The 25,624-nt window shown below is 41.6% G+C and overlaps 1 protein-coding gene and 1 long non-coding RNA gene across 13 annotated transcripts in view, besides 3 other annotated features; one reads left to right on the top strand and one right to left on the bottom strand.

Annotated features, from left to right (window-relative positions):
* RABGAP1L (RAB GTPase activating protein 1 like) overlaps window positions 1–3,664 on the bottom strand; it is an 835,789-nt gene extending 832,125 nt beyond the window's left edge. For all 12 annotated transcript variants that reach the window (NR_158982.1, NR_158981.1, XM_011510223.3 and 9 more), the window contains exon 1: window positions 3,527–3,664. The gene's annotated coding sequence lies outside the window, so the exon portion shown is untranslated. The remainder of the gene's footprint in view (window positions 1–3,526) is intronic.
* Window positions 3,259–3,438: a silencer, noted in NCBI's record as "silent region_1562". NCBI's record gives its function as "represses an Ori minimal core promoter by ATAC-STARR-seq in GM12878 lymphoblastoid cells {active_cell/tissue: GM12878}" and the evidence as "EXISTENCE:reporter gene assay evidence [ECO:0000049][PMID:35858748]".
* Window positions 3,559–3,958: a silencer, noted in NCBI's record as "silent region_1561". NCBI's record gives its function as "represses an Ori minimal core promoter by ATAC-STARR-seq in GM12878 lymphoblastoid cells {active_cell/tissue: GM12878}" and the evidence as "EXISTENCE:reporter gene assay evidence [ECO:0000049][PMID:35858748]".
* The window catches only part of RABGAP1L-DT (RABGAP1L divergent transcript), a 37,650-nt gene continuing 15,922 nt past the window's right edge, over window positions 3,897–25,624 (top strand). The window contains exons 1-3 of the long non-coding RNA NR_121197.1: window positions 3,897–4,020; window positions 4,194–4,297; window positions 7,487–7,557. This is a non-coding gene — a long non-coding RNA (RABGAP1L divergent transcript). The remainder of the gene's footprint in view (window positions 4,021–4,193; window positions 4,298–7,486; window positions 7,558–25,624) is intronic.
* Window positions 9,319–9,428: an enhancer, noted in NCBI's record as "active region_2120". NCBI's record gives its function as "activates an Ori minimal core promoter by ATAC-STARR-seq in GM12878 lymphoblastoid cells {active_cell/tissue: GM12878}" and the evidence as "EXISTENCE:reporter gene assay evidence [ECO:0000049][PMID:35858748]".

Here is a 25,624-nt window from a genome sequence, read left to right as displayed (position 1 = left end):
TCTCTATAATATCAGCATTAAAACTCTCCTTTAAAAATGAGTATGTTTTACCATAACTCAGGCTCAAGTCCGTACTTTCTCCGCCTCCACTGTTTGTAATGGCAAAATGCTCATCAGATCATCTCCACAAGAAACCCCTGAGCCATCTTTGAAATACCAGCACCTGGTGCGCTGCACCCACTAACTCATCATCTAGCATTAGGTATATCTCCCAATGCTATCCCTCCCCCCTCCCCCCTCCCCACCACAGTCCCCAGAGTGTGATATTCCCCTTCCTGTGTCCATGTGATCTCATTGTTCAATTCCCAGCATGGCACATGTATACATATGTAACTAACCTGCACAATGTGCACATGTACCCTAAAACTTAAAGTATAATTAAAAAAAAAAAAAAAAAAAAAAAAAACAGAAAGAGAAAAAAAAAAAAAAAGAAATACCAGCACCTGGAATAGCCTTGGGCTGCTGGTCATCCTCAGACTCAACGGCTGACCCATTTATATAAGTCAAGAGTTATAAAAATATAGAACTCATTAAAATTAAGACATAAGCAAGCTCTGTGCCTGGGAATCCCATAGGCTTACAGCAACAACTTCATTCTCCAAACCCCCTCTAACCAGTCATAATGATCCATACCCCACTTGAAGACAATGGTAGGTTGGAATGCAGGCCCACTTCTACACCTTCAATATAGGAAATTTTTGCTACTTAGCCACTACTCTCTTCAAAGTCAATCTCTTGAAGCCTAGCTATCTCCCACACATATTTTTACTTGGCACAACAGAATTCCTTCTTTTGATTACTCCAAAAGCATGGATAAAAGGACTTTCTGCTTCAATGCTGTATCATCTGAGAGTTCAAATAAATATACAATGGCTGAGCAAATTCAAGTTTGGGTTAAGGCAAAGAAAAAAATTCAAGTTTTTTAAAAGTCACAAATTTAGAACTGGAGAGCTGATCACATGAAAACTCCTGTTTCACATGCCTAATAAAATTCTTTCATTCAAAGGAAAAAAAAATCATAACTACCAGCGTAAAAAGAAAACATCTAAATCATGAAACAATTATCAAAGAAACAAAAATTCTCAGAACATCGCAACTGTAATATATAGAAATTCCCATCAAATAACTCAGGTGAAAAAAAAAAAAAATGGGACAAGCACCGTTGGCTCAGGCCTGTAATCCCAGCACTTCGAGAGGCTGAGGCGCAAGGACTGCCTGAGGCCAGGAGTTGGAGACTAGCCTGAGCAACATGGTGAGACCCTTGACTCTACAAAAATAAAACAAAAAATTAGCCAGGTTTGGTGGCATGTGCCTGTGGTCCCAGCTACTCAGGAGGCTGAGGTGGGAGGATCTCTTGAGACCAGAACTTCGTGGCTGCAGTGAGCTAGGACTGAGCCACTGCACTCCAGCCTGGGCGCCAGAGCGAGACCTTGTCTCTTTAAAAGAAACAAACAAACTTCATCTATTTACAGTCACACTTTTTTAGGTTGGTTTGTATATTCACCATATGCCCCAATAGTACTGAGACTTACTAACTTGTTTCCAGCTTTCTAGAGGACAATGTAGGTTATATAATATGTTCACATATAAGCTCTACCCTATTTCATCTACTTCTCCCCATATGACTTACTAGTACACATCAGAGGCCGGGCGCTGTGGCTAACGCCTGTAATCCCAGCACTTTGGGAGGCTGAGGCGGGCAGATCACCTGAGGTCAGCAGTTCCACCAGCCTGACCAACATGGAGAAACCCAGTCTGTACTAAAAATACAAAATTAGCCAGGCGTGGCGGCGCATGCCTGTAGTCCCAGCTACACAAAAAGCTGAGGCAGGAGAATCGCTTGAACCCGGGAGGCGGAGGTTGTGGTGAGCCGAGATCGCGCTGTTGCACTCCAGCCTGGGCATCAAGAGCGAAACTTCGTCTCAAAAATAATAATAATAATAATAATAATAATAATAATAATACACATCAGAGCAAATGTAGGCTACATAATATGTTAAAATATAAACTCTGCCCTGCTTTATCTACTTCTCTCCAAATGAATAATACATAATATCAGCGCATTTATTGAACTGATTTAGTATAGACACCAGTCTAACTCAAAGTCTAGAGCTAACCCCTCAGGCAGGTGTACATTTAATACAATTTGATGATAATGTATACATAAAGTTCAACTAGTCTTTCTCCTTAGAAATCTCATTGTCAATTTCATAAGGGACGCTCTACTGAGAAAATGAATCACAGGCCAGTTTTCTAGTACTAGGAGCTTGTGAACCAGTATTTTCCATGAACAAAATCCACTTCCAATGTGATCACAAAAAGCAAACTTCACATCCGTATCTTCTGACATCATAACTAATGGATATTCTACGGAAGATGCCAAATATAAACACTACTGTAAGAAAAGTCAGAAGGTTTTCATGAAACTGTGTTTTCAGAATTTTAACAAGCAACTACTTACCTCCCACTATGCACGAGGAAATTTAAATGTATTAAAAATCCCTAAACCCCTCCAGTGCCAAAAATAAAGGCCTTAAAATCATTTTCCAAACTGCGCTGAAATCTGTCAGGCAAGCAAAAGTTCTCCTTACCATTAGTGTAATAAGGCTGGCATTTCAGTTTACTTGCATGAAACCAATTTTGCAAGTGACCACCCAAGTTTTGGTACATATTCTAATATAACCCTATCTGAGAGATCCAAGGACCTGGACACACTGCCTAGTATCTGAAACCCGTCAGTTCAGCTCCCATGCACCCGGCCACCTCCCGCTAGCCGGTGGCCCCTTTCCACATGCTGACGCACTGCCCAGCCCTGTACCGTTGGCGACCAGTGCAAAGTACTAGCCCAGTCTCAGAAACTTTGACTCAGTTATCAGGACACTGAGCACTCACAAGGTGGGTGGGGGTTGGGGGGAGGTGTTTGTCATGGCTCAGGAGGTCAACTTTGAAGCGGGGCATTCCCTACAGGTAGGGATCTGCCCGGAACGCATCCCATCCCAAACTGCAAAACCACAAGCATCAACAGCAGGAGCCGAGCAAAGTGCTCGGCGGAGGAAGAGGAAGGGCGAGGGAGAGAAATGGTCGAGTACAGAAGCCTGCGTGTGGGTAAGAAAATACCCTAACCACTCGCCCACCGGACGCAGGGCGGCTGGGACTGCGAATCCAGCAGCAGCCACAGCGTAGCAGCGGGCGGCAGCCGCCGAGGCAGCAATGTCAGGAGGGCACAGCTGGAGGAGGCGGCCGCCAAAGCCACTACCCCACCCCCAGGTAAGGGCGCCGACCCCGCCCGCCCTATCCGCGAGGAGCGGCCACCTGGGAGAACTGCGGTGTCCGGGAGGCGGCCGACAGTCCTGAACCCGCCCCCTACCCTCCTTACCGCGGTCCTCCCGCATCCCAGTCCTCGGCTGGGGCCCCATCTCGACCCTCCCCAGGCTCAGCCCGACGCCAACACACCCAGGCAGCCTCGGCCCGCGGATCCGGGCCGCCGGGCCGCCCTCGTGTCCCTAGGAGGCCGTCCTCGCCTCACCTCTTCACGTCTCCGCGGGCGCTGCCGAGACAACAACTCCTTCAGGCGCCCGCGTTCCACCCTCCACCTCGCGCTCTGAAGCCGGGCCGGTCCCGTTCGCTCCGCCACCGCTGGAGCCCGAGGAGGGCGGAGGGAACTGAGAGGGGAGGGGAGAAGGGCCGCCTGGCAGGAAGAGGCGAGGGAGGGGGCGGGCCGAGAAGGAGGGGAGGAGGCGGTGGCGGCGGGTCGGAAGCGCGCTCGTCCAGGCCCCTCTGCGCGGCGTGCGCGCTCCTGATGTCGGAGGCGCCCACTCTGCCGGGCGGCGGCGGCGCACACGCGCGTGCACGTCGCTGCGTGGCCGCGGTTGCGCCGGGAGCGGAGGAGTGAGGTCCTGACAGAACCAGAGCTGTTAGAGCAGGGACGCGCGAAAGGCGGGAGTACGGGCGGCGCTGGAGAACCTCCGCGGCGGAGGGGCCTGGGGGTGGGACCGCGCCCGCGAGCCCGCCCTGACCGGGGTGCGTTCTACTGGCAGTTGCTGAGTTCGGAAGATTAACTCTGAATGTGGAGAGATTATTTTCTTGCTCGTAAACCTGGTTTACATATTTTCATTCTTAATGCTCAGTAATCTTAAGGAAAGTCACCTGAAAGAATACTTTTTCACCAAGTACTCTTCTGCGCCTGTTTGAAGGTGTCTGTGTGCTTGTGAAGCGCTCCCTTGTTAGTTCCTTCTGTGAGACTCGGGGGAGACTGAAGAGGGAAATCACCTGCGGGGAATGAACAGGAAAGCAATAAGTAAGCACCATTACGTATTATATGAAGAAAATGTGCCCTCATTTGCACCTTTTTATCCTTTGGGGTAAAAGATGTTGAGGTACAAACTAGGTAGAGGTAGAATAAACCAACGCTTTTTCGCTACGAAGATTGTACTGATCCTTGAATTGTGGACATCCTTCTTCTAGATCCTGCAACCAGAAATGACCTGTAAATTTTCCGAATCTCCTTAGCACTTTGTTCTGTAGTTTTGTGGCACCTAACATGTCAGGCTTATCCAGGTTGCCCTGTGCAGCATTTTATCCCACTAGACAACCGCTGTGAACCTGTATCATTCATTTGTATCTTACACTGTGCACCCTGCCTAACTCATAGGAAGCACTCAATGAATGTGATTGCATGGATAAGTGAATATAGTGTCCAGTGATTGCAGCCATAGAATGACTTTAGTTTAAATATCTCCCTTCTATCCCACTTCAATTCCCCTGCCCTCATTTTCCCACCCATATTTAAAAGCTACTCTGAGAAACGTGACATTTGTCCAAAGGGCCCTCCCTGACAAATTCCTTCCCCCCACACCCCCGCTTTTCCTGATGTTAATGTCTATAGATGCTGAGACATATCAAGAGTGTTGTAACTATTTTTTTGTTTCCCCTACCTTCTGGGCTGCTTCCCTTATTAACTTCTGTATCTCAGGAGCCTACCTAGCCCTGGGCCTGACAATAAATGCTGAAAGTTTTTATTATATTTAATAAAGTTAGGGTTAGAATAACATAAATCATCTGTTGATTTCCTGAGATGTACAGGAACTATTAATAAATCTGCCAACCAGTAAGTACTAAGCCTCTACTAAATAAAGTACTAGTAAATTTACACTGCGCGCCATGAGGAAATCAACAGTTGACAAAGCCGCAGTTTCTGCCTTCAGGTATCTTCTAACTGGAGTGAAGCTTTTTGACAAAAAAGGACAATGGATGTGGTAATTATGGGCATTCAATAGGTAACTTAGCTAAAAAAGAATTTAAAAAAAAAATGGCAAGTCCAAAACAAGTTTAGTGTTCCCCAAATTCAGTTCCATATGTCTTTGAAAGCAATAGTGGACACCACTGGCCACTGCGAGTTAATTCTTCTATTTAAGTGGAGCATGCTATCTTCATGTGCCAACTTGCTATAAGGAAAAGAAAAATCCTGTCCCATGGCCACATGTAACACCTCTCATCAACAGGGGTCATTCTTTAAAACTGAACTTTTCCTCACAGTACAACATAGATAAGAGACAAGTCATGAGAGAACCTAGATAAAAGACAATTAAGGTGATCTGATGCAAACTCATCCTTACCACCAGAAAAACAATTCTAAGCACATGCCAAAAAATTATTAACAGATCTTCAGGCTTTTAGTCGAGAAACTAAAAGGAATAAAAAATTAATAACAAAGCATTCTTCATGTGGTATGTGCTGCTCACTTCTCTTTCCACTGTGGCTTCATTTGCATTAAGCGTATCCTAGCAGCCCTGGTCCATGAAAGGACTGAAACTCTCACTTTGAGAGATGGTGTTATAAAATACTCCAGCATGATTCATAACATGACAAACTGGTGCCCCAGGTACAAATCAAACCCACAAACATGTTTTGTTTGGCATACATGGTGCTTAAAAAAACACATATCCAAAGTTAAAAACCAGAAGATTATACATGCATTTTGGGCTTCTCTTTAAAAAGTGGAAGATTTGGTAACAGTGAGCTTACATTATTACATGATAACGATCAGCTGCAGGACATGCATTCTCTCTTTTGCCAAAGTCTCTACATTCTCTATTGTATCTTACAGTGTTGTTTCTCTCATTTATGTCTGCAACTCCTAGTTTAAAATGTAATATCAAAAATTGGAAACAGACCAGGTGCAGTGGTTCATGCCTGTAATCCCAGCACTTTGAGAGGCCAAGGCAGAATTGCTTGAGCCCAGAAGTTCAAGATTAGCCTGGGCAACATAACAATACCCTGTCTCCACAAAAAAGAAAAAAAAAATTAGAAACAAGTTAAACATTGAACAATAATGTAAGAGTTTAAACTGGTATCTAATGGTACAGAATATCATATTGATTTTATAGTGAGCATTATATTGATTGATTCCCCAGAATATATTTCCACCCCTCTGCAATTGCAAGACAGCCAAGGATCTGATTAGGCCCATCTCCCGCTCCAGGTGTGGACAGTGATTGTGATAATCAGCCTAATCCCATTCTCACTTGACCTGTCAGTATTCACTGATAGGCACTGACATGAGTCTAAATTGGTGCCAGTCACATGGAAGGCCATATCTTGTGTTTGTTGGGAAATGAAAAGTGCTCTTTTTCTTACTCTGGCTAGTGTGATGGGTAGATGTGAGTCCAATAGTTACTGCAGCCACTTTGCTACCATGAGGAAGCCAGCCTGAGGATGAAGCTGACACATGATGGAAGCACTCAAACCCAGCTTGAAGCCTACCCCTTCCTCTGAGACAATAAATTTTCACAGCTTTTTTTTTTTTTTTTAAACAGTCTCACTCTGTTGCCCAGACTGGAGTGCAGTGGCGCAATCTCGGTTCACTACAACCCCTGCCTCCCGGGTTCAAGCGATTGTCCTGTCTCAGCCTCCTGAGAAGCTGGGATTACAGGTGCCCACCACCACGCCCAGCTAATTTTTGTATTTTTAGTAGAGATGGGGTTTCACCATATTGGCCGAGCTGGTCTCAAACTCCTGACCTCAGGTGATCCACCCGCCTCGGCCTCCCAAAGTGCTAGGATTACAGGCGTGAACCACCGTGCCCGGCCTGATTTTGACAGCTTTTTAAGAAGGTTCGAGTTTGGCTTTGTATTTCTTACAGATAAAGCTAAATCTTTCCATGCATACTATGGAACAAATAACTTTAGTTGCATTATATGACTCTTCCAAGGATACGTTTCCAATGATAGAAAGGTAACAAGCTGTCTGGCAAGATTTTACAGGGTCTTGAAAGGAATTTGACCACACCAAAAAATCCTTCCCTGACTGGGCTACCTGATGCCTGAAAGCCCATCGTTACACTTTTTTTTTTTTTCACTTTGACTTAAATCCTGTGCCCTATTTAAATCAACTTTGCCCAAGAAGAGCACTTCATGACTCGAATCACTAATCTTATATAAATGAGTTTATCACATGATTTTTTAGTCTTTTTTTTTTTTACTAACAGGAAGATTTGGAAAAGAGGCACTGGCTACTGGAGGAAGGGAGAAATCACCGAGAGAGCGAAAGATGTAACAGGTAAAACTGGAGATACAGAAGAAAACCTTTTTTATTTCACGGTTTTATGTAGGGCTGAAATTCAGAGTAATCTGGACAAGTCATAATGAGCTTATATGATAAACCAAACCTGTGTTGCAATCGCCCATTTAAGACTAAGAACACAATAAAATATGTATATAGGGAGCAGAAAATTTCCTCAGCAGTAGAAGAGGCAGGCAGAGATCTAAATGCCTGTTTTATTTTATTTTTTTGAGACAGAGTTTCACTCTTGCTGCCCAGGCTGGAGTGCAGTGGCGCAATCTCGGCTGACTGCAACCTCCGCCTCCCGGGTTCAAGCAATTCCCCTGCCTTAGCCTCCGGAGTAGCTGGGATTACAGGCACGCACCACCATGCCCAGCTAATTTTTGTATTTTTTTAGTAGAGACAGCGTTTCGCCACATTGGCCAGTCTGGTCTCGAACTCCTGACCTCAGGTGATCCACCCGCCTCAGCCTCCCAAAGTGCTGGGAGGGATTAAAGGCATGAGCCACTGCGCCTGGCCCTAAATGTCTCTTGAGGAAGAATAGCTAGCCTACTACTTTTATTTCTTTTATTTTTTATATTTTTTATTTTTTGAGACAGGGTCTCACTCTGTCACCCAGGCTGGAGTGCAGTGGTGCGATCTTGGCTCACTGCAACCTCCACCTCCCGGGTTCAAGTGACTCTCCTGCCTCAGCCTCCCAAGTAGCTGGGATTATAGGTGCCCACCACCACACCTGGCTAATTTTTGTATTTTTAGTACAGACGGGGTTTCACCGTGTTGGCCAGGCTGGTCTCAAACTCCTGACCTCAAGTGATCTGCCCACCGTGGCCTCCCAAAGTGCTGAGATTACAGGCATGAGCCACCATGCCCAGCCTCTACTACTTTTAGAATTTGATACTTAATGTAAAGGACACCTACCAAAAATGGTTTTTCCCATACATTATGGTAGGTGTCTGAAATTCATCTCACCATAGGAGTCCTTTTCTTTTATGTGGGGCAGTGATCCTCTGTAGTGTATAACAAAATCACCTTGGGAGTTTATAAAAATGCATATCTCTATGCTCAACCCCCAAGAAATTCAGTACCTCTAAGATAGGCCCCAGGACTTGTTTCAACTTTTTCTTATAAAAAATGTTTAAGCACATAAAAAGTAGAGAGAAGAGTATAATGAGCCTTCATGAGTCAGTCATTCAGCTTGAACAATTATCAATATGTGGCCAATCTCCTTCCCCACCCCTCACATGGATATCACCCATAAATACTTCATCATATAAAGCTCTAAAAGATAAGAATTCTTGACCAGGCATGGTGGCTCAGGCCTGTAATCCCAGCGTTTTGGGAGACCGAGGCAGGAGGATTGCTTGAGCCCAGGAGTTTGAGACCAGCCTGGGAAACATAGCTAGACCCCATCTCTACAAAAAATTTAAAAATTAGCCAGGGGTGATGGCACGCACCTGTGGTCCCAGCTACTTGGGAGGTTGAGGTAGGAAGACCGCTTGAACCTGGGAGGTCAAGGCTGCAGTGAGCCATAAGGGGGTGACAAAGCAATACCTGTCTCAAAAAAAAAAAAGATAAGGATTCCTTTTTGCAATCAATAAAATCCAGAATGTGGGAAACTCTATAGGACATACCACCAAGTTTCTTCAGCAAATAAATTGCATACATATAAGTGAGAAGAAGGATCTGTTGAACTTGCTTGGATGTTGATTTTGTTTGTCCTTTTTAACATCTTCATGAGATATAACAGACATACAATAAGCTATTCATATTTAAAGTGTACAATTTGACAAGTTTTGACATATGTACGCAACTGTGAAACCATCACCACAATCAAGAGTAAACATATCCATCATGCCCCTTTGTAATCTCTCCCTCCTACTCTGACTCATACCCCTCCATGTCCTCAGGCACTCACTGATGTTGCTAGAGATTTGTTTGCATTTTCTAGAATTTTCTATAAATGGAATCATATAGTATGTATTCTTTTTTTGTGTTGCTTTTTTTACTCAGTATAATCATTTCAGGATTCATCCATGTTTTTGCACTTGTCAATAATCTATTCCTTCTAAGTCTTTGAGTCTCACAACATGTATCAAGTTCCAGTACTCATGTGAGCCACTGGGCTTCAGTATATACTTGACTTCAGCTTCCTGTAATGCTCTGGTTTTTTGTTTTCCTTTTTCTAAAAGCTAGTGATTTCCTTTTCTTTTTTCTTTCTTTCTTTTTTTTTTTTTTTGTTATTGTTGTTGTTTCGATGGCTAAAAAAAAAATTTCTTTGAGACAGGGTTTTACTGTGTCGCCCAGGCCACAGTGGAAGTGGCATGATCACAGCTCACTGCAGCTTCAATCCCCTGGGCTCAAGTGATCCTTTCACCTCAGCCTCCCGAGTAGCTGGGACCTCAGGTGAACGCTGCCATGCCTGGATTTTTTTTTTTTATTTTTGATAGAAATGGGACATCTCTATGTTGCCCAGGCTGGTCTTAAACTTCTGGGCTCAAGTGAGCCTTCTGCCTCAGCCTCCCAAAGTGCTAGGATTGCAGCCACCATACCTAGCTGATTTCCCTTTCTTGCTTTCAAGCTTGACAAAATACATTTTTTCAATTTTTAAAGTTATTATCCCACATTTGTATATTTTTGTAAAGGTAGGGAGTCTTTCCTTGTCAGCCCAGCTAGCCATATTAGTCTGAATTATGTTAATTTTTTAATAATGTAAAGAAACTATACAAAGAGGGAGGCTGCTTTTCTACAGATGTGGTATCTTCCTTCCTGATGCTTTCCCTGCACAAGCGTTTCCAAACAGAGCTTTGGCAGTAAACTCCAAGTTCCTTTGAAGTACTTACCATAGGCCTACTAAATTGCAGGTTTTGAATATATAAGAAATATTCCTTAAATACATATGTTTTGTAGAAAAAGCTACTTCAAAAATTACAAATACTTTCATGGTAAAGGGAGGAAAATTACCACTTTCCTCTTCTGAGTCAAGGGAAGTTCACGCCCTCTCCACCACACCCTACCCCTCCCTCCAAGACATTTTTTTAGTCCTTTTCCCTTTGCCACATAAAAAATAAGCTGCAAATTTGAAAAAAGATTATGTCTAATTCTAAGAGACTCTCTAATACAAAAGTAAATGAGAATTATAAAATGACAAATGCCATTGCTTTAGAATATATTAAAATATTCCTAAAACTTTGTCTAACACTTTCAATTTCAGGAAAATTCTTACTATTTAATTCTCTGATTTGGTGACGGTGACAATAACAACCTCTTCGTGGAAGATTTTTAGTTTTTGACACACCTACATACATCATTACTAATAATTTCAAACTGCTAATAATTTCAAACTGCATATGAAAATCAGAATTGTATCTTGTAATTATATTCAAAATATCTTGTTTCATAGGCAGATGGTGCATAAATTGATAGCCATTGTGTTATTCTCTGTACCTTTTGATGTATTTTAAATTATGTAATCATTTTTAATTGAATTCCACCATCAATGTATGCCTTACTTTGGATGCATACCCTTTAATCTCATTTTTGTAGAATTGATATCTTGCTCTACTGTACCCCACAACACCAGATACATATATTTTTACTGCACCTATAACACTTTCATACATTTAAAATTTTTTATCACCATCTTTTTCTACCAGACTGAACACTTTGAATTCAAAAATTATGGGTTTTTTTTTCCTAGTACCTAGGCATTCAGTATGTTTATTGTATGAATGATTGAATGAATATATTTACAAATTTGTGTTAGAATTTGCTGAGATGCTTCTCTTAGTGAAACAGAGAGCTTAAATAATAGAACAAATCCCTGATTACTGACCATGAGTTAGTCTTTCTTTGGTTGCAAGTGACAGAAGTGTTCTCTACATAGAGAAAGCAAGCATTTAAAGAACACTGAATCTACAGTACAATTAAATATCTTTACCAATAATTCAAACTTATTAGTAATTAATGTCAGACCTAACCATCTTATTAAAAGAAATATATTTAAGTGTGTATGCCAGAGACTCCTAGCTGCTTGCCTCATCATCCATTTTCTCCTTCCATCTTAGTAAAAGAACCCCAAATTTATCCAATATTAAACTATACACAGATAAAAGACTATAATTCCTGTCTTCCTTTGCAGCCAATATTCTGGCAAATGAGAAAAGTAACTGTGAAATTTTCTTCAAAGAGAGAGACTGGCCTCTTCTTTTCCCTTTCTTCCCTCCTACTACCTGGAACATAGATGTGATGGTTGAATCTAGCAACCATCTTCAGCCGGAGGATGAGGACCACCCTAGGTATGGTGTAGTGACCAACCAGAAGGAGTTTATGTCCATGATGACTTTGTGGAACCTCCATCCCACCTGAAATCCCACCTAAAATGCCAATTTCCAAACTTATAGAGAATGAAACCTTGTGTGTTTAATCCATTATTTGCTATTTTTAGTTTTACTCACTTGCAACTGAACTTAATTCTAACTACTATTTTTACTCTTAAACCTTATCTTAGGGTCATATTCCTTCTTAATTGATTCACATGATTTCTGAAGAGATTATAATTTATAATTTATGGGATTATTAAAATAATTTCAGAAAAATATAATTCTAGCACTCTGGGAGGTCAAGGCGGGTGGATCACTAGAGCTCAGGAGTTCAAGACCAGCCTGGGCAACATGGCGAAATCCCATCTCTACAAAAAATACAAAAATTATCTGGGTGTGGTGGTGCCTGCCAGTAGTCCCAGCTGCTTGGGGGGCTGAAGTGGAAGGATTGCTTGAGCCAGAGAGGTGGAGGCTGCAGTGAGCAGAGATCCCGCCACTGTACTCCAGCCTAGGCAACAGAGTGAGACCCTATCTCAAAAAACAAATAAAAATTCCTAGCCAGGCATGGTGACTCATGCCTTGAATCCCAGCACTTTGGGAGGCCAAAGCAAGAGGATCACTTCAGGCCAGGAGTTTGAGACTAGCCTGGGCAACATAGCAAGACCCCATCTCTATAAAAAAAATGTTTTTAAATAGCCAGACATGGTGGCACACGCCTGTAGTCTCAGCTACTGTGGAGGCTACAGCAGGAGGATCACTTGAGCCCAGGAGTTTGAGGTTATAGTAAGCTATGATAGCACCACTGCAGTCCAGCCTGGGTGATAAAGGAAGACCGTGTCTCTAAAAATAATAATAACAATAATAATAATTCCTTTAAAATTGAAATTCTTCACTTGGATGCCTCATATCTAGAAGGATAGCTGATATAGGAAATTTAAATAAGAATTTCAGTAATTATTTCATCTTAATAACCATGGCTAAAGGGTTGTTGTTGTTTTTTAAGTCCTTTGTGGTTTGATAATCATTCTACTGAAAGTACACTGCATATTTCCCTGTCTTAGAAAGACTGAATTTTTTTTTTGAGATGGAGTCTCACTCTGTCACCCAGGCTGGAATGCGGTGGCGTGATCTCGGCTCACTGCAACCTCTGCCTCCGGGTTCAAGCGAGTCTCCAGCCTCAGCCTCCAGAGTAGCTGGGATTACAGGTGTGCGTCACCATGCCCAGCGAATTTTTGTATTTTTAGTAGAGATGGGGTTTCACAATGTTGGCCAGGCTGGTCTCAAACTCCTGACCTCAAGTGATCCGCCTGCCTCAGCCTCCCAAAGTGCTGGGATTATAGGCATGAGCCACCGCACCTGGCCAAAAGACTGAATTTTTTGTCATTCAAATTTTTAATTTATTTCCTTCATAAATTTTGAATATATACATTTTATTTGCTTCGGGACTTAGTGTAGTGATTGGTGAATGAAACTAATATAGGAATTGTAAAATTTTTTATTTTAAAAATTTGAGCTTGCAATGCTCTTTTCCTCTTAAGACATGTACCCGCAGGTTCTGAAAGGTTTCCACCAACTGTGTAGCAGAAAATCTGTATATTTATTGCATTGAACTAGTGTGACTTGTAAAATATAATCAAAACATAACTATTCTCTTAAAACTAACTCAGTGGGGTTAGCTTTTTCCCCTGCCACAAAGATGAAAATTCCAGCAAGTCTCATGACTTTCCTGCCCGCTTGCAGAAATCATAAGGTCTTAAATTTTTAAAATCACAAAATTCAGCCTCATTTGAAAGGGAGGATTCTGAGAAAAGAAACGTGTTCAGCTCTTCTCTCTTTCCTGTTCGTGTTCTCACCTACTCAATGGCTGTTGTCAGTGACTCTCTCATCCTTTTTTATGGCTGCGTAGTACTCCATGGTGTGTATGTGCCACATTTTCTTTATCCAGCCTATCATTGATGGGCATTTGGGTTGGTTCCAAGTCTTTGCATTGTGAATAGTGCTGCAATAAATATATGTGTGTGTATGTCTTTATAGTGGAATGATTTATAACCCTTTGGGTATATACCCAGTAATGGGATTGCTGGGCCAAATGGTATTTCTGGTTCTAGATCCTTGAGGAATTGCCACACTGTCATCCACAATGGTTGAACTAATGTACACTCCCACCAACACTGTAAATGCGTTCCTATTTCTCCACATCTTCTCCAGCATCTGTTGTTTCCTAACTTTTTAATGATCGCCATTCTAACTGCCATGAGATGGTATCTCATTGTGGTTTTGATTTGCATTTCTCTAATGACCAGTGATGATGAGCTTTTTTTTTCATATGTTTGTTGGCTGCATAAATGTCTTCTTTTGAGAAGTGTCTGTTCATATCCTTTGCCCACTTTTTGATGGGGTTGTTTTTTTCTTGTAAATTTGTTTAAGTTCCTTGTAGATTCTGGATATCAGCTCTTTGTCAGATAGATAGATTGCAAAAATTTTCTCCCATTCAAAAAAAAAAAAAAAAAAAAAAAGGCCGGGCGCGGTGGCTCACGCCTGTAATCCCAGCACTTTGGGAGGCCGAGGCGGGTGGATCACGAGGTCAGGAGATCGAGACCATCCTGGCTAACACGGTGAAACCCCGTCTCTACTAAAAATACAAAAAATTAGCCGGGCGTGGTAGCGGGCGCCTGTAGTCCCAGCTACTCGGGAGGCTGAGGCAGGAGAATGGCGTGAACCCGGGAGGCGGAGCTTGCAGTGAGCCGAGATTGCGCCACTGCACTCCAGCCTGGGCGACAGAGCGAGACTCCGTCTCAAAAAAAAAAAAAAAAAAAAAAAAAAATTTTCTCCCATTCTATAGGTTGCCTATTCACTCTGATGGTAGTTTCTTTTGCTGTGCAGAAGCTCTTTAGTTTAATTAGATCCCATTTGTCAATTTTGGCTTTTGTTGCCATTGCTTTTTGTGTTTTATTCATGAAGTCTTTGCCCATGCCTATATCCTGAATGGTACTGCCTAGGTTTTCTTTTAGGGTTTTTATGGTTTTAGGTCTAATGTTTAAGTCTTTAATCCATCTTGAGTTAATTTTTGTATAAGGTGTGAGGAAGGAGTCCAGTTTCAGTTTTTTGCATATGGCTAGCCAGTTTTCCCAATGCCATTTATTAAATAGGGAATCCTTTCCCCATTTCTTGTTTTTGTCAGGTTTGTCAAAAATCAGATGGTTGTAGATGTGTGGTGTTATTTCTGAGGCCTCTGTTCTGTTCCATTGGTCTATATATCTGTTTTGGTACCAGTACCATGCTGTTTTGGTTACTGTAGCCTTGTAGTATAGTTTGAAGTCAGGTAGCGTGATGCCTCCAGCTTTGTTCTTTTTGCTTAGGATTGTCTTGGCTATACAGGCTCTTTTTTGGTTCCATATGGAATTTAAAGTATTTTTTTTAATGCTGTGAAGAAAGTCAATGATAGCTTGATGGGAATAGCATTGAATCTATAAATTACTTTGGGCAGTATGGCCATTTTCACAATATTGATTCTTCCTATCCATGAGCATGGAATGTTTTTCCATTTGTTTGTGTCCTCTTTTATTTCTTTGAGCAGTGGTTTGTAGTTCTCCTTGAAGAGGTCCTTCACATCCCTTATAAGTTTTATTCCTAGGTATTTTATTCTCTTCGTAGCAATTGTGAATGAGAGTTCACTCATGATTTGGCTCTGTTTGTCTATTGTTGATGTATAGGAATGCTTGTGATTTTTGCAGGTTGATTTTGTATCCTGAGACTTTGCTGAAGTTGCTTATCAGCTTAAGGAAATTTTGGGCTGAGACAATGGGGTGTTCTAAATATAAAATGATGTCATCTGCAAACAGAGACAATTTGACTTCTTCCTTCCTATTTGAATACCCTTTATTTCTTTCTCTTGCGTGATTGCCCTGGCCAAAATTTCCAGTACTATGTTAAATAGGAGTGGTGAAAGAGGGCATCCTTGTCTTGTGCCAGTTTTCAAAGGAAATGCTTCCGGCTTTTGCCCATTCAGTATGTTATTGGCTGTGGGTTTGTCATAAATAGCTCTTATTTTTTTGACATACGTTCCATCAATACCTAGTTTATTGAGAGTTTTTTAGCATGAATGGGGTGTTGAATTTTATCGAAGGCCTTTTCTGCATCTGTTGAGATAATCGTGGTTTTTGTCATTGGTTCTGTTTATGTGATGGATTATGTTTATTGATTTGCATATGTTGAACCAGACTTGCATCCCAGGAATGAAGCCGACTTGACGGTGGTGGATGAGCTTTTTGATGTGCTGCTGGATTCGGCTTGCCAGTATTTTACTGAGGATTTTCGCATCTATGTTCATCAGGGATATTGGCCTGAAATTTTCTTTTTTTGTTGTGTCTCTGCCAGGTTTTGGTATCAGGATGATGCTGGCCTCATAACATTAATTAAGGAGGAGTTCCTGTTTTTCTATTTTTTGGAATAGTTTCAGAAGGAATGGTACCAGCTCCTCTTTGTACCTCTGGTAGAATTCAGCTGTGAATCCGTCTGGTCCTGGACTCTTTTTGGTTGAAAGGCGATTAATTACTGCCTCAATTTCAGAACTTGTTATTAGTCTATTCAGGGATTCGACTTCTTCCTGGTGTAGTCTTGGGAGGGTATATGTGTCCAGGAATTTATCCATTTCTTCTAGATTTTCTAGTTTATTTGCCTAGAGGTGTTTATAGTATTCTCTGATGGTAGTTTGTACTTTTATGCAATCAGTGGTGATATCCCCTTTATCATTTTTTATTGTGTCTGTTTGATTATTCTCTCTTTTCTTCTTTATTAGTCTCTCTAGCGGTATATTTCGTTAATCTTTTCAAAAAACCACCTCCTGGATTCATTCATTTTTTGAAGGCTTTTTTGTGTCTCTATCTCCTTCATTTCTGCTCTGATCTTAGTTATTTCTTGTCTTCTGCTAGCTTTTGAATTTGTTTGCTCTTGCTTCTCTAGTTCTTTTAAATGTGATGTTAGGGTGTTAATTTTAGATCTTTCCCACTTTCTCCTGTGGGATTTTAGTGCTATAAATTTCCCTCTAAACACTGCTTTAGCTGTGGCCCAGAGATTCTGGTACATTGTGTCTTTGTTCTCATTGGTTTCAAAGAACTTATTTATTTCTGCCTTAATTTTGGTAATTTTTCTCCATCCCTTTATTTTGAGCCCACGTGAGGTGGGTTTCCTGAATACAGCACACCGATGGGTCTTCACTTTTTATCCAATTTACCAGTCTGTGTCTTTCAATTGGGGCATTTAGCCCATTTACATTTAAGGTTAATATTGTTATGTGTGAATTTGATCCTTTCATTATGATGCTAGCTGGTTGTTTTGCCTGTTAGTTGAGGCAGTTCCTTTATAGTGTTGACAGTCTTTACAATTTGGTATGTTTTTGCAGTGGCTGGCACTAGTTTTTCCTTTCCATATTTAGTTCTTCCTGCAGGAGTCTTGTAAGGCAGGCCTGGTGGTGACAAAATCCCTCAGCATTTGCTTGTCTATAAGGGATTTTATTTCTTCTTCACTTATGAAGCTTAGTTTGGTTGGATATGAAATTCTGGGTTGAAAACTCTTTTCTTTAAGAATGTTGAATATTGGCCCCCACTCTCTTCTGGCTTGTAGGGTTTCTGTAGAGAGATCCACTGTTAGTCTGGTAGGCTGCCCTTTGTGGGTAACCCGACCTTTCTCTCCGGCTGCCCTTAACAATTTTTCCTTCACTTCAACCTTGGTGAATGTGACAATTATGTGTCTTGGGGTTGCTCTTCTCAAGGAGTATCTTAGTGGTGTTCTCTGTATTTCCTGAATTTGAATGTTGGCCTGTCTTGCTAGGTTGGGGAAGTTCTCCTGGATAATATCCTGAAGAGTGTTTTCCAACTTGGTTCCATTCTCCCCATCACTTTCAGGTACACCAATCAAACGTAGGTTTGGTCTTCTCACATAGTCCCATATTTCTTGGAGGATTTGTTCATTTCTTTTCATTCTTTTTTCTCAAATCTTGTCTTCTTGCTTTGTTTCATTAAGTTGATCTTCAGTCTCTGATATCTTTTCTTCCACTTGATGGATTTGGCTATTGATACTTGCGTATGCTTCACAAAGTTCTCATGCTGTGTTTTTCAGCTCCATCAGGTAATTCATGTTCTTTTCTAAACTGGTTATTCTAGTCAGCAATTCCTCTAACCTTTTATCAAGGTTCTTAGCTTCCTTGCATTGGGTTAGAACATGCTCCTTTAGCTCAGAGGAGTTTGTTATTACCCACTTTCTGAAGCCTTCTTCTGTCAATTCATCAAACTCATTCTCCATCCAGTTTTGTTCCCTTTCTGGTGAGGAGTTGTGATCCTTTGGAGGAGAAGAGGCGTTCTGGTTTTTGGAATTTTCAGCCTTTTTGCACTGTTTTTTTCTCATCTTCATGCATTTATCTACTTTTGGTCTTTGATGTTGGTGACCTTCAGATGGGGTTTCTGTGTGGATGTCCTTTTTGTTGATGTTGATACTATTCCTTTCTGTTTGTTAGTTTTCCTTCTAATGGTCAGGCCCCTCTGCTGCAGGTCTGCTGGAGTTTGCTGGAGGTCTAATCCAAACCCTGTTTGCCTGGGTATCATCAGTGGAGGCTGCAGAACAGCAAAGATTACTGCCTGTTCCTTCCTCTGGAAGCTTCATCCCACAGGGACACCCACCAGATGCCAGCCAGAACTCTCCTATATGAGGTGTCTGTCGACCCCTGCTGGGAAGTATCTCCCAGTCAGGAGGCACAGGGGACCCACTTGAGGAGGCAGTCTGTCCCTTAGCAGAGCTCGAGTGCTGTGCTGGGAGACCTACTGCTCTCTTCAGAGCTAGCCGGCAGGAATGTTTAAGTCTACTGAAGCTGTGCCCAAAGGAGCCCCTTCTTCCAGGTGCTCTGTCCCAGGGAAATGGGAGTTTTATCTATAAGCCCCTGACTGGGGCTGCTGCCTTTCTTTCAGAGATGCCCTGCCCAGAGAGGAGGAATCTAGATAGGCAGTCTGGCTACAGTGGCTTTGCCGCCCTGCAGTGGGCTCTACCCAGTTCAAACTTCCCGGCAGTTTTGTTTATACTGTGAGGGGAAAACCACCTACTTAAGCCTCGGTAATGACAGACGCCTCTCCCCACACCAAACTCAAAGTCCTAGGTCGACTTCAGACTGCTGTGCTGGCAGTGAGAATTTCAAGCCAGTGGATCTTAGCTTGCTGGGCTTTGTGGCGGTGTGATCCGCTGAGCTAGACCACTTGGCTCCCCGGCTTCAGCCCCCTTTCCAGGAGAGTGAACAGTTCTGTCTCGCTGGCAGTCCAGGCGCCACTGGGGTAAGAAAAAAAAAAAAAAAAAAAAAACTCCTGCAGCTAGCTCAGTGTCTGCCCAAACGGCCACCTAGTCTGTGCTTGAAACCCAGGGCCTTGGTGGTGTAGGCACCTGAGGGAATCTCCTGGTCTGTGGGTTGCGAAGACCATGGGAAAAGCATAGTATCTGGGCCAGAATTTACCATTCCTGATGGCTTCCCTTGGCTAGGGAAGGGAGTTCCCCAACCCCTTGTGCTTCCCAGGTGAGGTGACACCCCACCCTGCTTCAGCTTGCCCTCCATGGGCTGCACCCACTGTCTAACCAGTCCCAATGAGATGAGCTGGGTAACTCGGTTGGAAATGCAGAAATCACCCGCCTTCTGCATTGATCTCACTGGGAGCTGCAGACTGGAGCTGTTCCTATTCATCCATCTTGCCAGCCACCCTCAGTTTTACATTTTAAGTTTGACAGTGATTAGACATCCAAGCGAAGACTTTTTATTTTATTTTATTTTTTGAGACACAGTCTTGCTCTGTCACCCAGGCTGTAGTGCAGCAGCATGATCTCGATTCACTGCAACCCCTGGAAGGCCTCCCAGGTTCAAATGATTCTCCTGCCTCAGCCTCTGGAGTAGCTGGGATTACAGGCACCCACCACCACACCTGGCTATTTTTTGTATTTTTAGTAGAGATGGGCTTTCACCATGTTGGCCAGGCTGGTCTCAAACTCCTGACCTTAGATGATCCTCCTGCCTCAGCCTCCCAAAGTGCTGGGATTACAGGCATGAGCCACCATGCCCTGCCTATTTTATTTTTTGAGACAGGGCCTCCCTCTGTTGCCCAGGCTGGAATGCAGTGGTTCATGATAGCTCACTGCAACCTCAAACTCCTGGGCTCAAGTGATTCTCCTGCCTCAACTTCCAAAGTAGCTGAGACTACAGGTGTATGCCGCCATGCCTGGTTAATTTTTTTCTGTAGAGGTGGGGTCTTGCTATGTTGCCCAGTTTGGTGCAAGTGGCAATTTTGACTAGAAAATTAAATATATGATCTTGGGTTCAGATCCACGCCGGAGAGAGAAATTTGAAACTCATTAACATATAGTCTTCTTCCTTTTTAAAAAACAATGTCGAAAATTACATGAAAGATGCAAGGATAGCACAAACAACGTTTTTCCTCAGTCATTTGAGAATAATGACAAAAGCTGACCCAGTAATGACACAATGAGAATTCTGACACCATGCCCCATCACCCCGATACTTCAGTGTGTTCTTCCTATAAATAAGGACATTTTCCTGTATAAACACAATAAACCCATCAAAATCTAGAAATTAAGATTGCTATACTTACCTAACCCTCAGACCTTATCCAAATCATAATGTCCTTTATAATAAAAGGATTCAGTTCAGAATTTACCTATTATGTCTCTTTAGTCTCCTCCACTCAGGAATATTTCCTTGGGCTTTCGTTGATTTTCATGGCCTTGCTGCTTTTGAAGATTAACAGGCCAGTTATTTTGAAGTATATCCCTCAATTTTGAATTTATTTTATATTTCATCATGATTAGATTCAGATTATGCATCTCTCTATTAAGAATATAAATAAGCAATCCTATATTCTTATTGCATCCTATCAGGTGTTAGGGACACAACTGCAATTTGTCTCATTATTGATGGTGTTAATTTGAATCACTTGATTAAAGTAATATAAGCTTCTCCATTTTAAAGCTTTTTTTCCCTTTTGTACTTAATAAGTATTTTGTGGAAAAGTACTTTGAAGCTATGTAAATATCCTATTCTTTTTTGTTTTTGTTTTGAGACAGGGTATTGCTCTGTCTCCCAGGCTGGAGTGCAGTGCCAGGATCATAGCTCACTGTAGCCTCAACCTCCCAGGCTCAGGTGATGTTCCCACCTGAGCCTCCTGGGTAGCTGGGACTAGAGATGCACGCTAGTGGTTTTTTTTTTGTTTTTTTTGTTTTTTTTTTTTTTGGTAAAACAGGGTTTTACCATGTTGCTCAGGCTGCTCTTGAACTTCTGGGCTCGAGCAATCTACCTGCCTTGGCCTCTCAAAGTGCAGGGATTACAGGTGTGAGCCACCACGTCTGGCAAATAGCCTATTCTTCATCAAACTTTATTTATTTATTTATTTATTTATTTATTTACTTACTTACTTACTTATTTATTTATTGAGATGGAGTCTTGCTCTGCCGCCCAGGCTGGAGTGCAAATGGCATGATCTCAGCTCACTGCCCCCTCCGCCTCCTGGGTTCAAGCAATTTTCCTGCCTCAGCCTCTGGAGTAGCTGGGATTACAGGCACCCACCACCACACCTGGCTATTTTTTGTATTTTTAGTAGAGATGGGCTTTCACCATGTTGGCCAGGGTGGTCTCAAACTCCTGACCTCAGGTGAAACACCTGCCTCGGCTTCCCATAGTGCTGGGATTACAGGCATGAGACACTATGCCCGACCTTCAAACTTTCCATGTATTAAATTTATTAATTTATGTTTGTATTGACTCATTGTTTTTTAAATGAGTATAATCTGTTTCCATCATTAATTCTCAAATGATCTCATCCCATGATTTGAAGAAGTCTAAATAAATAAATATCCAATTGTCTCAGATTTGGTCAGTAGAAAGCCCAAGCTGGCTTCTCTCTTTTTGATATACCCCCATCATTCTTAGAGCACTTTTTTGTCTGGTTCAGCAGATGTTCCAGGGTTAATTTGTATTTTTGCTGCCCCAGTACTGGAATCAGCCATTTCTCAAAGAACCCTGGTTATTTTTGTGGAGAACGATACTTAGAAGTCAAAATCTGGGGCTAGATGTGCTCAGTTGCTACTGGGGTGTAGCTACTCCCAGGCTCTGTCAGTGGTCAGAAGTGAGGAATATAGAGATAAAAATAGAGATACATGAAAACATATACACTTTTACATCTATATTTATTTCTATAACTATATATCTCTATCAATCAATCTATTTAGATATACAACCATAAATTCACACAAATATCTCCTATTCTAATCAAACATCACAAGGTTTATTCTAGTATTCTTTTCCATCTGACAATGGGGAACCTGGCTCTAACTTTTTAATATATTTATTTATGTAATTAAGCCCCCTGTAATAACAGATCATTGATTGTCACCACCACTCTCTTCTATGCACAAATGTCCTCCTCACTCCACTCAGTCTCTAACACCCATACCTGACTACCCCTGCCATGTAAATGTCTTTCTCATTCTGCTTAGGCTTTGACTCCTCGTGCATGACCAGTTTTCTGTGTGGATACCCAGTAGCCCATACTATGCTGCCCCTCTCCATGGATGTCCTTCTCACTCTGCTCAGGCTATAACTATCCTTGCTACACAGTCCTCTTATGCAAGCATCCTCCTTTCCCAGATTGGGCTCCAAAATCCCAATTGGCCTCTGTGATTCTCTCCAACTCAGGCCCAATTCCAACCTTGCTTTTTCCACCTAATGGCTTTGGGATCAAATCATTTAAGAAGAGAAGGGAGAGAAAGGAAAGGGGAAGAGAAAGATATATATATATCCTATATCTATATCTATATCTATACCTAGATATCCTATATCTAAAACTATATACAAACTACATATACGTAACTATATATATACATATATATGTATGTAACTACATATATACACATATATATATGTGTGTATATATATAGTTTTTGAAGCCACAAGACTGATTGAAAGCTCCTAGGGAATGAAATGAGGGTAGATAGAGAAGAGGAGAACTGAGCTAGCTGTGGGGCACTCCAGTTTTGACATTTACTTGTCAATGTAATGAAGAGGAACCAGCAAAGTAGACTCCAAAGAAGCCAAAGAGATAAGGGAAAAACCAGGAGAGAGAGGTTTTTTTGGAAGCCAATACAGAATGTGTTCCAAGAAGATCAACTGTGCTGAATACTGCTAAGAGGTCAACCATGATATCATGAAGACTGATAATTCGGCATTGGGTTTAGTGATATGGAGGGCAATGGTATACTTGATGAAAGTATTGCCAGTGGAATAGTGAAGGCAAAAAGGCTTATTAGAGTGGATTCAAGATAGAATGAGAGATGACCGAGGGACAACAAATTTAGATAATTCCTTTGAGATTTTCTGCAAAAAGAAGTGGAGCTGTGGCTAATGAAGGATGTGAGATCAGGATAGAGTTTCTTTTATTAAGTGGGAGATATTCAAATATATATTATATGTTGATGTTAATGATTCTACAAAAAGAGAAAAGTTGATACAGGAAAGAGATGGAATAATTTTGGGAGCAAAAGAGGATAGGACCAAGGGCACAGGAGGGAGGGGTTAGACTCAGACAGAAACAGGAATATTTCAACCTTCATAGTAGAAGGGAAGGTAAGATGCAGGTAAGTGAGTAGAATTAGTGGTGAGAAGTTGTGAAGGTTCTCTTCTAGTTGCTTCTTTTTTTCAGTGAAGTGTTAACAGAAAGCAAGATCATCAGCTGAGAGGGAGGAGGAAGAAAGAGGCTTGAGGGGAACAGCTTCATCTGAAGAGTAGAACAGTCAAATGACTATGGAATTGTAAAGAATTGCTGGGCAACACTGAGAACCCAGTTGAGGCTTGATGTCATAATTTTAAAGTGAGTCCAATTAGCATGATAATTTGTTCTTCTCCAGTTGATTAGATGTAGACATGGAATAGGTGAGAAGTTGCATTTCATCAAGCTTGGAGTTTTGCCAGGCAAGTACCAAAGGAGAGAAGGGCAAGGGTGTTGAGAGTGTGAATTCTCTGTACAAACCATAGGTGGTTACCTCATGAAGTATTTTATGAAGCATTATATAATGCTTAAAATGCATTTTAATAAAAAATTAAAATAATTATGAAGTAGTTTCATCATAGTGATACATGTATATATGTGTATTTATATTGAAAAATATATAAATATGTAAATAAAATATTATTTTAACTATAATTGCCAATAAAATTTGGAGATAATATTGTTTACGTGTCCAGGAATGACAAATACTAAATAAATTCAGAAGGCAATTTTATCATCATCATCATCAATATTTTCACTATATGACTATGGACTCTATAATAAATGGCTGTTGTTCCTTATCTATGAAGTGAATGCAGTTTAGGAAATAATGAGCTAAACTTTTACCTTTGCATCTAGGGGGCTATTAACTTAAGTATTTCAATCCTCCTCACACCTCTGTTTTGTCCTGAGGCACCAACAGCTTAACTATTAGTTCAGTAATTTCATTATCTCTTTCTAAGATACTATAACTAAGCCAATAGGTGAATACATTAGTTGATATCCAGATGTTCCTTAGGCCTTAATCCCTTTTAGAACTGTGTGGGCCAAGGCCTTCATGTGTTCATTCATTCACTCACAATTACTCAAACAACCGCCATATATTTGCTCAGTGGGGGAATAGAAAAACTAATACACTAAATTTTCTACCCTCAAGAGGTTTTCCCAACAGTAGGCCGGATGAGACATGCACACAAATAATTCTATAAAGCAATATGTAATGAGCGTTAGTTATATTGTTATACAAACTAAATGCTATAGTTATATAGATTGATTGTTAATTCCAGGTGTAATGACAAAGTAGCTATTAAGGAAGACATGGTATTTGAACTGGGACTTGAAAGATGGCAGAGTTTTGAATGATAGAGAATAGAATAAGAAAGCATTCTAGAGGCTGGGTGCACTGGCTCAAGCCTGTAATCCTAGCACTTTGAGAGGCCAAGGTGGGAAGATTGCTTAAGGCCAGGAGTTCAGGATCAGCTTGTGAAACATAGTGAGATCCGATCTCTACAAAAAATTAAAAAATAAAAAGTAAATAGAAAAAAGCAAGGTAAGCAGAAGGGTTAAAAAGAGCATCTGTACTGTAAGAAAATACTTGAGTTGTTGCCAGGTGCAGTGGCTAACACCTGTAATCCTAGCACTTTGGGAGGCCAAGGCAGGTGGATCACTTGAGGCCAGGAGTTTGAGACCAGCCTGGCCAGCAAGGCAAAATCCTGTCTCTGCTAAAAATACAAAAATTAGCCAACTGCAGTGGTGCAAGCCTGTAGTCTCAGCTACTTGGGTGGCTGAGGCATGAGAATTGCTTGAGCCTGGAAGGTGGAGGTTGCAGTGAGGTGAGAGCATGCCACTGCACTCCAGCCTAGGTGACAGAGTGAGACTCTGTCTCAAAAAAAAAAAAAAATTACTTGAGCTGGAATAAGAAGACCTGAGCTTGACTCTCAAATCTGACATGCATTACCTGTGTGATTTTCTTTGGTAATGGTTACTCTCTGTATATGTTTTTGCCTCATCTTTACAGCACTGTTAGTGATACTATTAATAATACAGGACTATTATAAGAATTAAGCAATATTGGCTGGGCACAATGGCTCATGCCTCTAAGCCCAGCACTTTTAGAGGCGAGTTGGGCAGATCACTTGAGGTCAGGAGTTTGGGACCAGC

Source organism: Homo sapiens, chromosome 1 (genome assembly GCF_000001405.40).
Source record: "Homo sapiens chromosome 1, GRCh38.p14 Primary Assembly".
NCBI classification, from domain to species: Eukaryota; Metazoa; Chordata; class Mammalia; order Primates; family Hominidae; genus Homo; species Homo sapiens.
The sequence above is the reverse complement of the archived record's forward strand: the minus strand, read 5'-3'. Positions and strand labels throughout refer to the sequence as shown.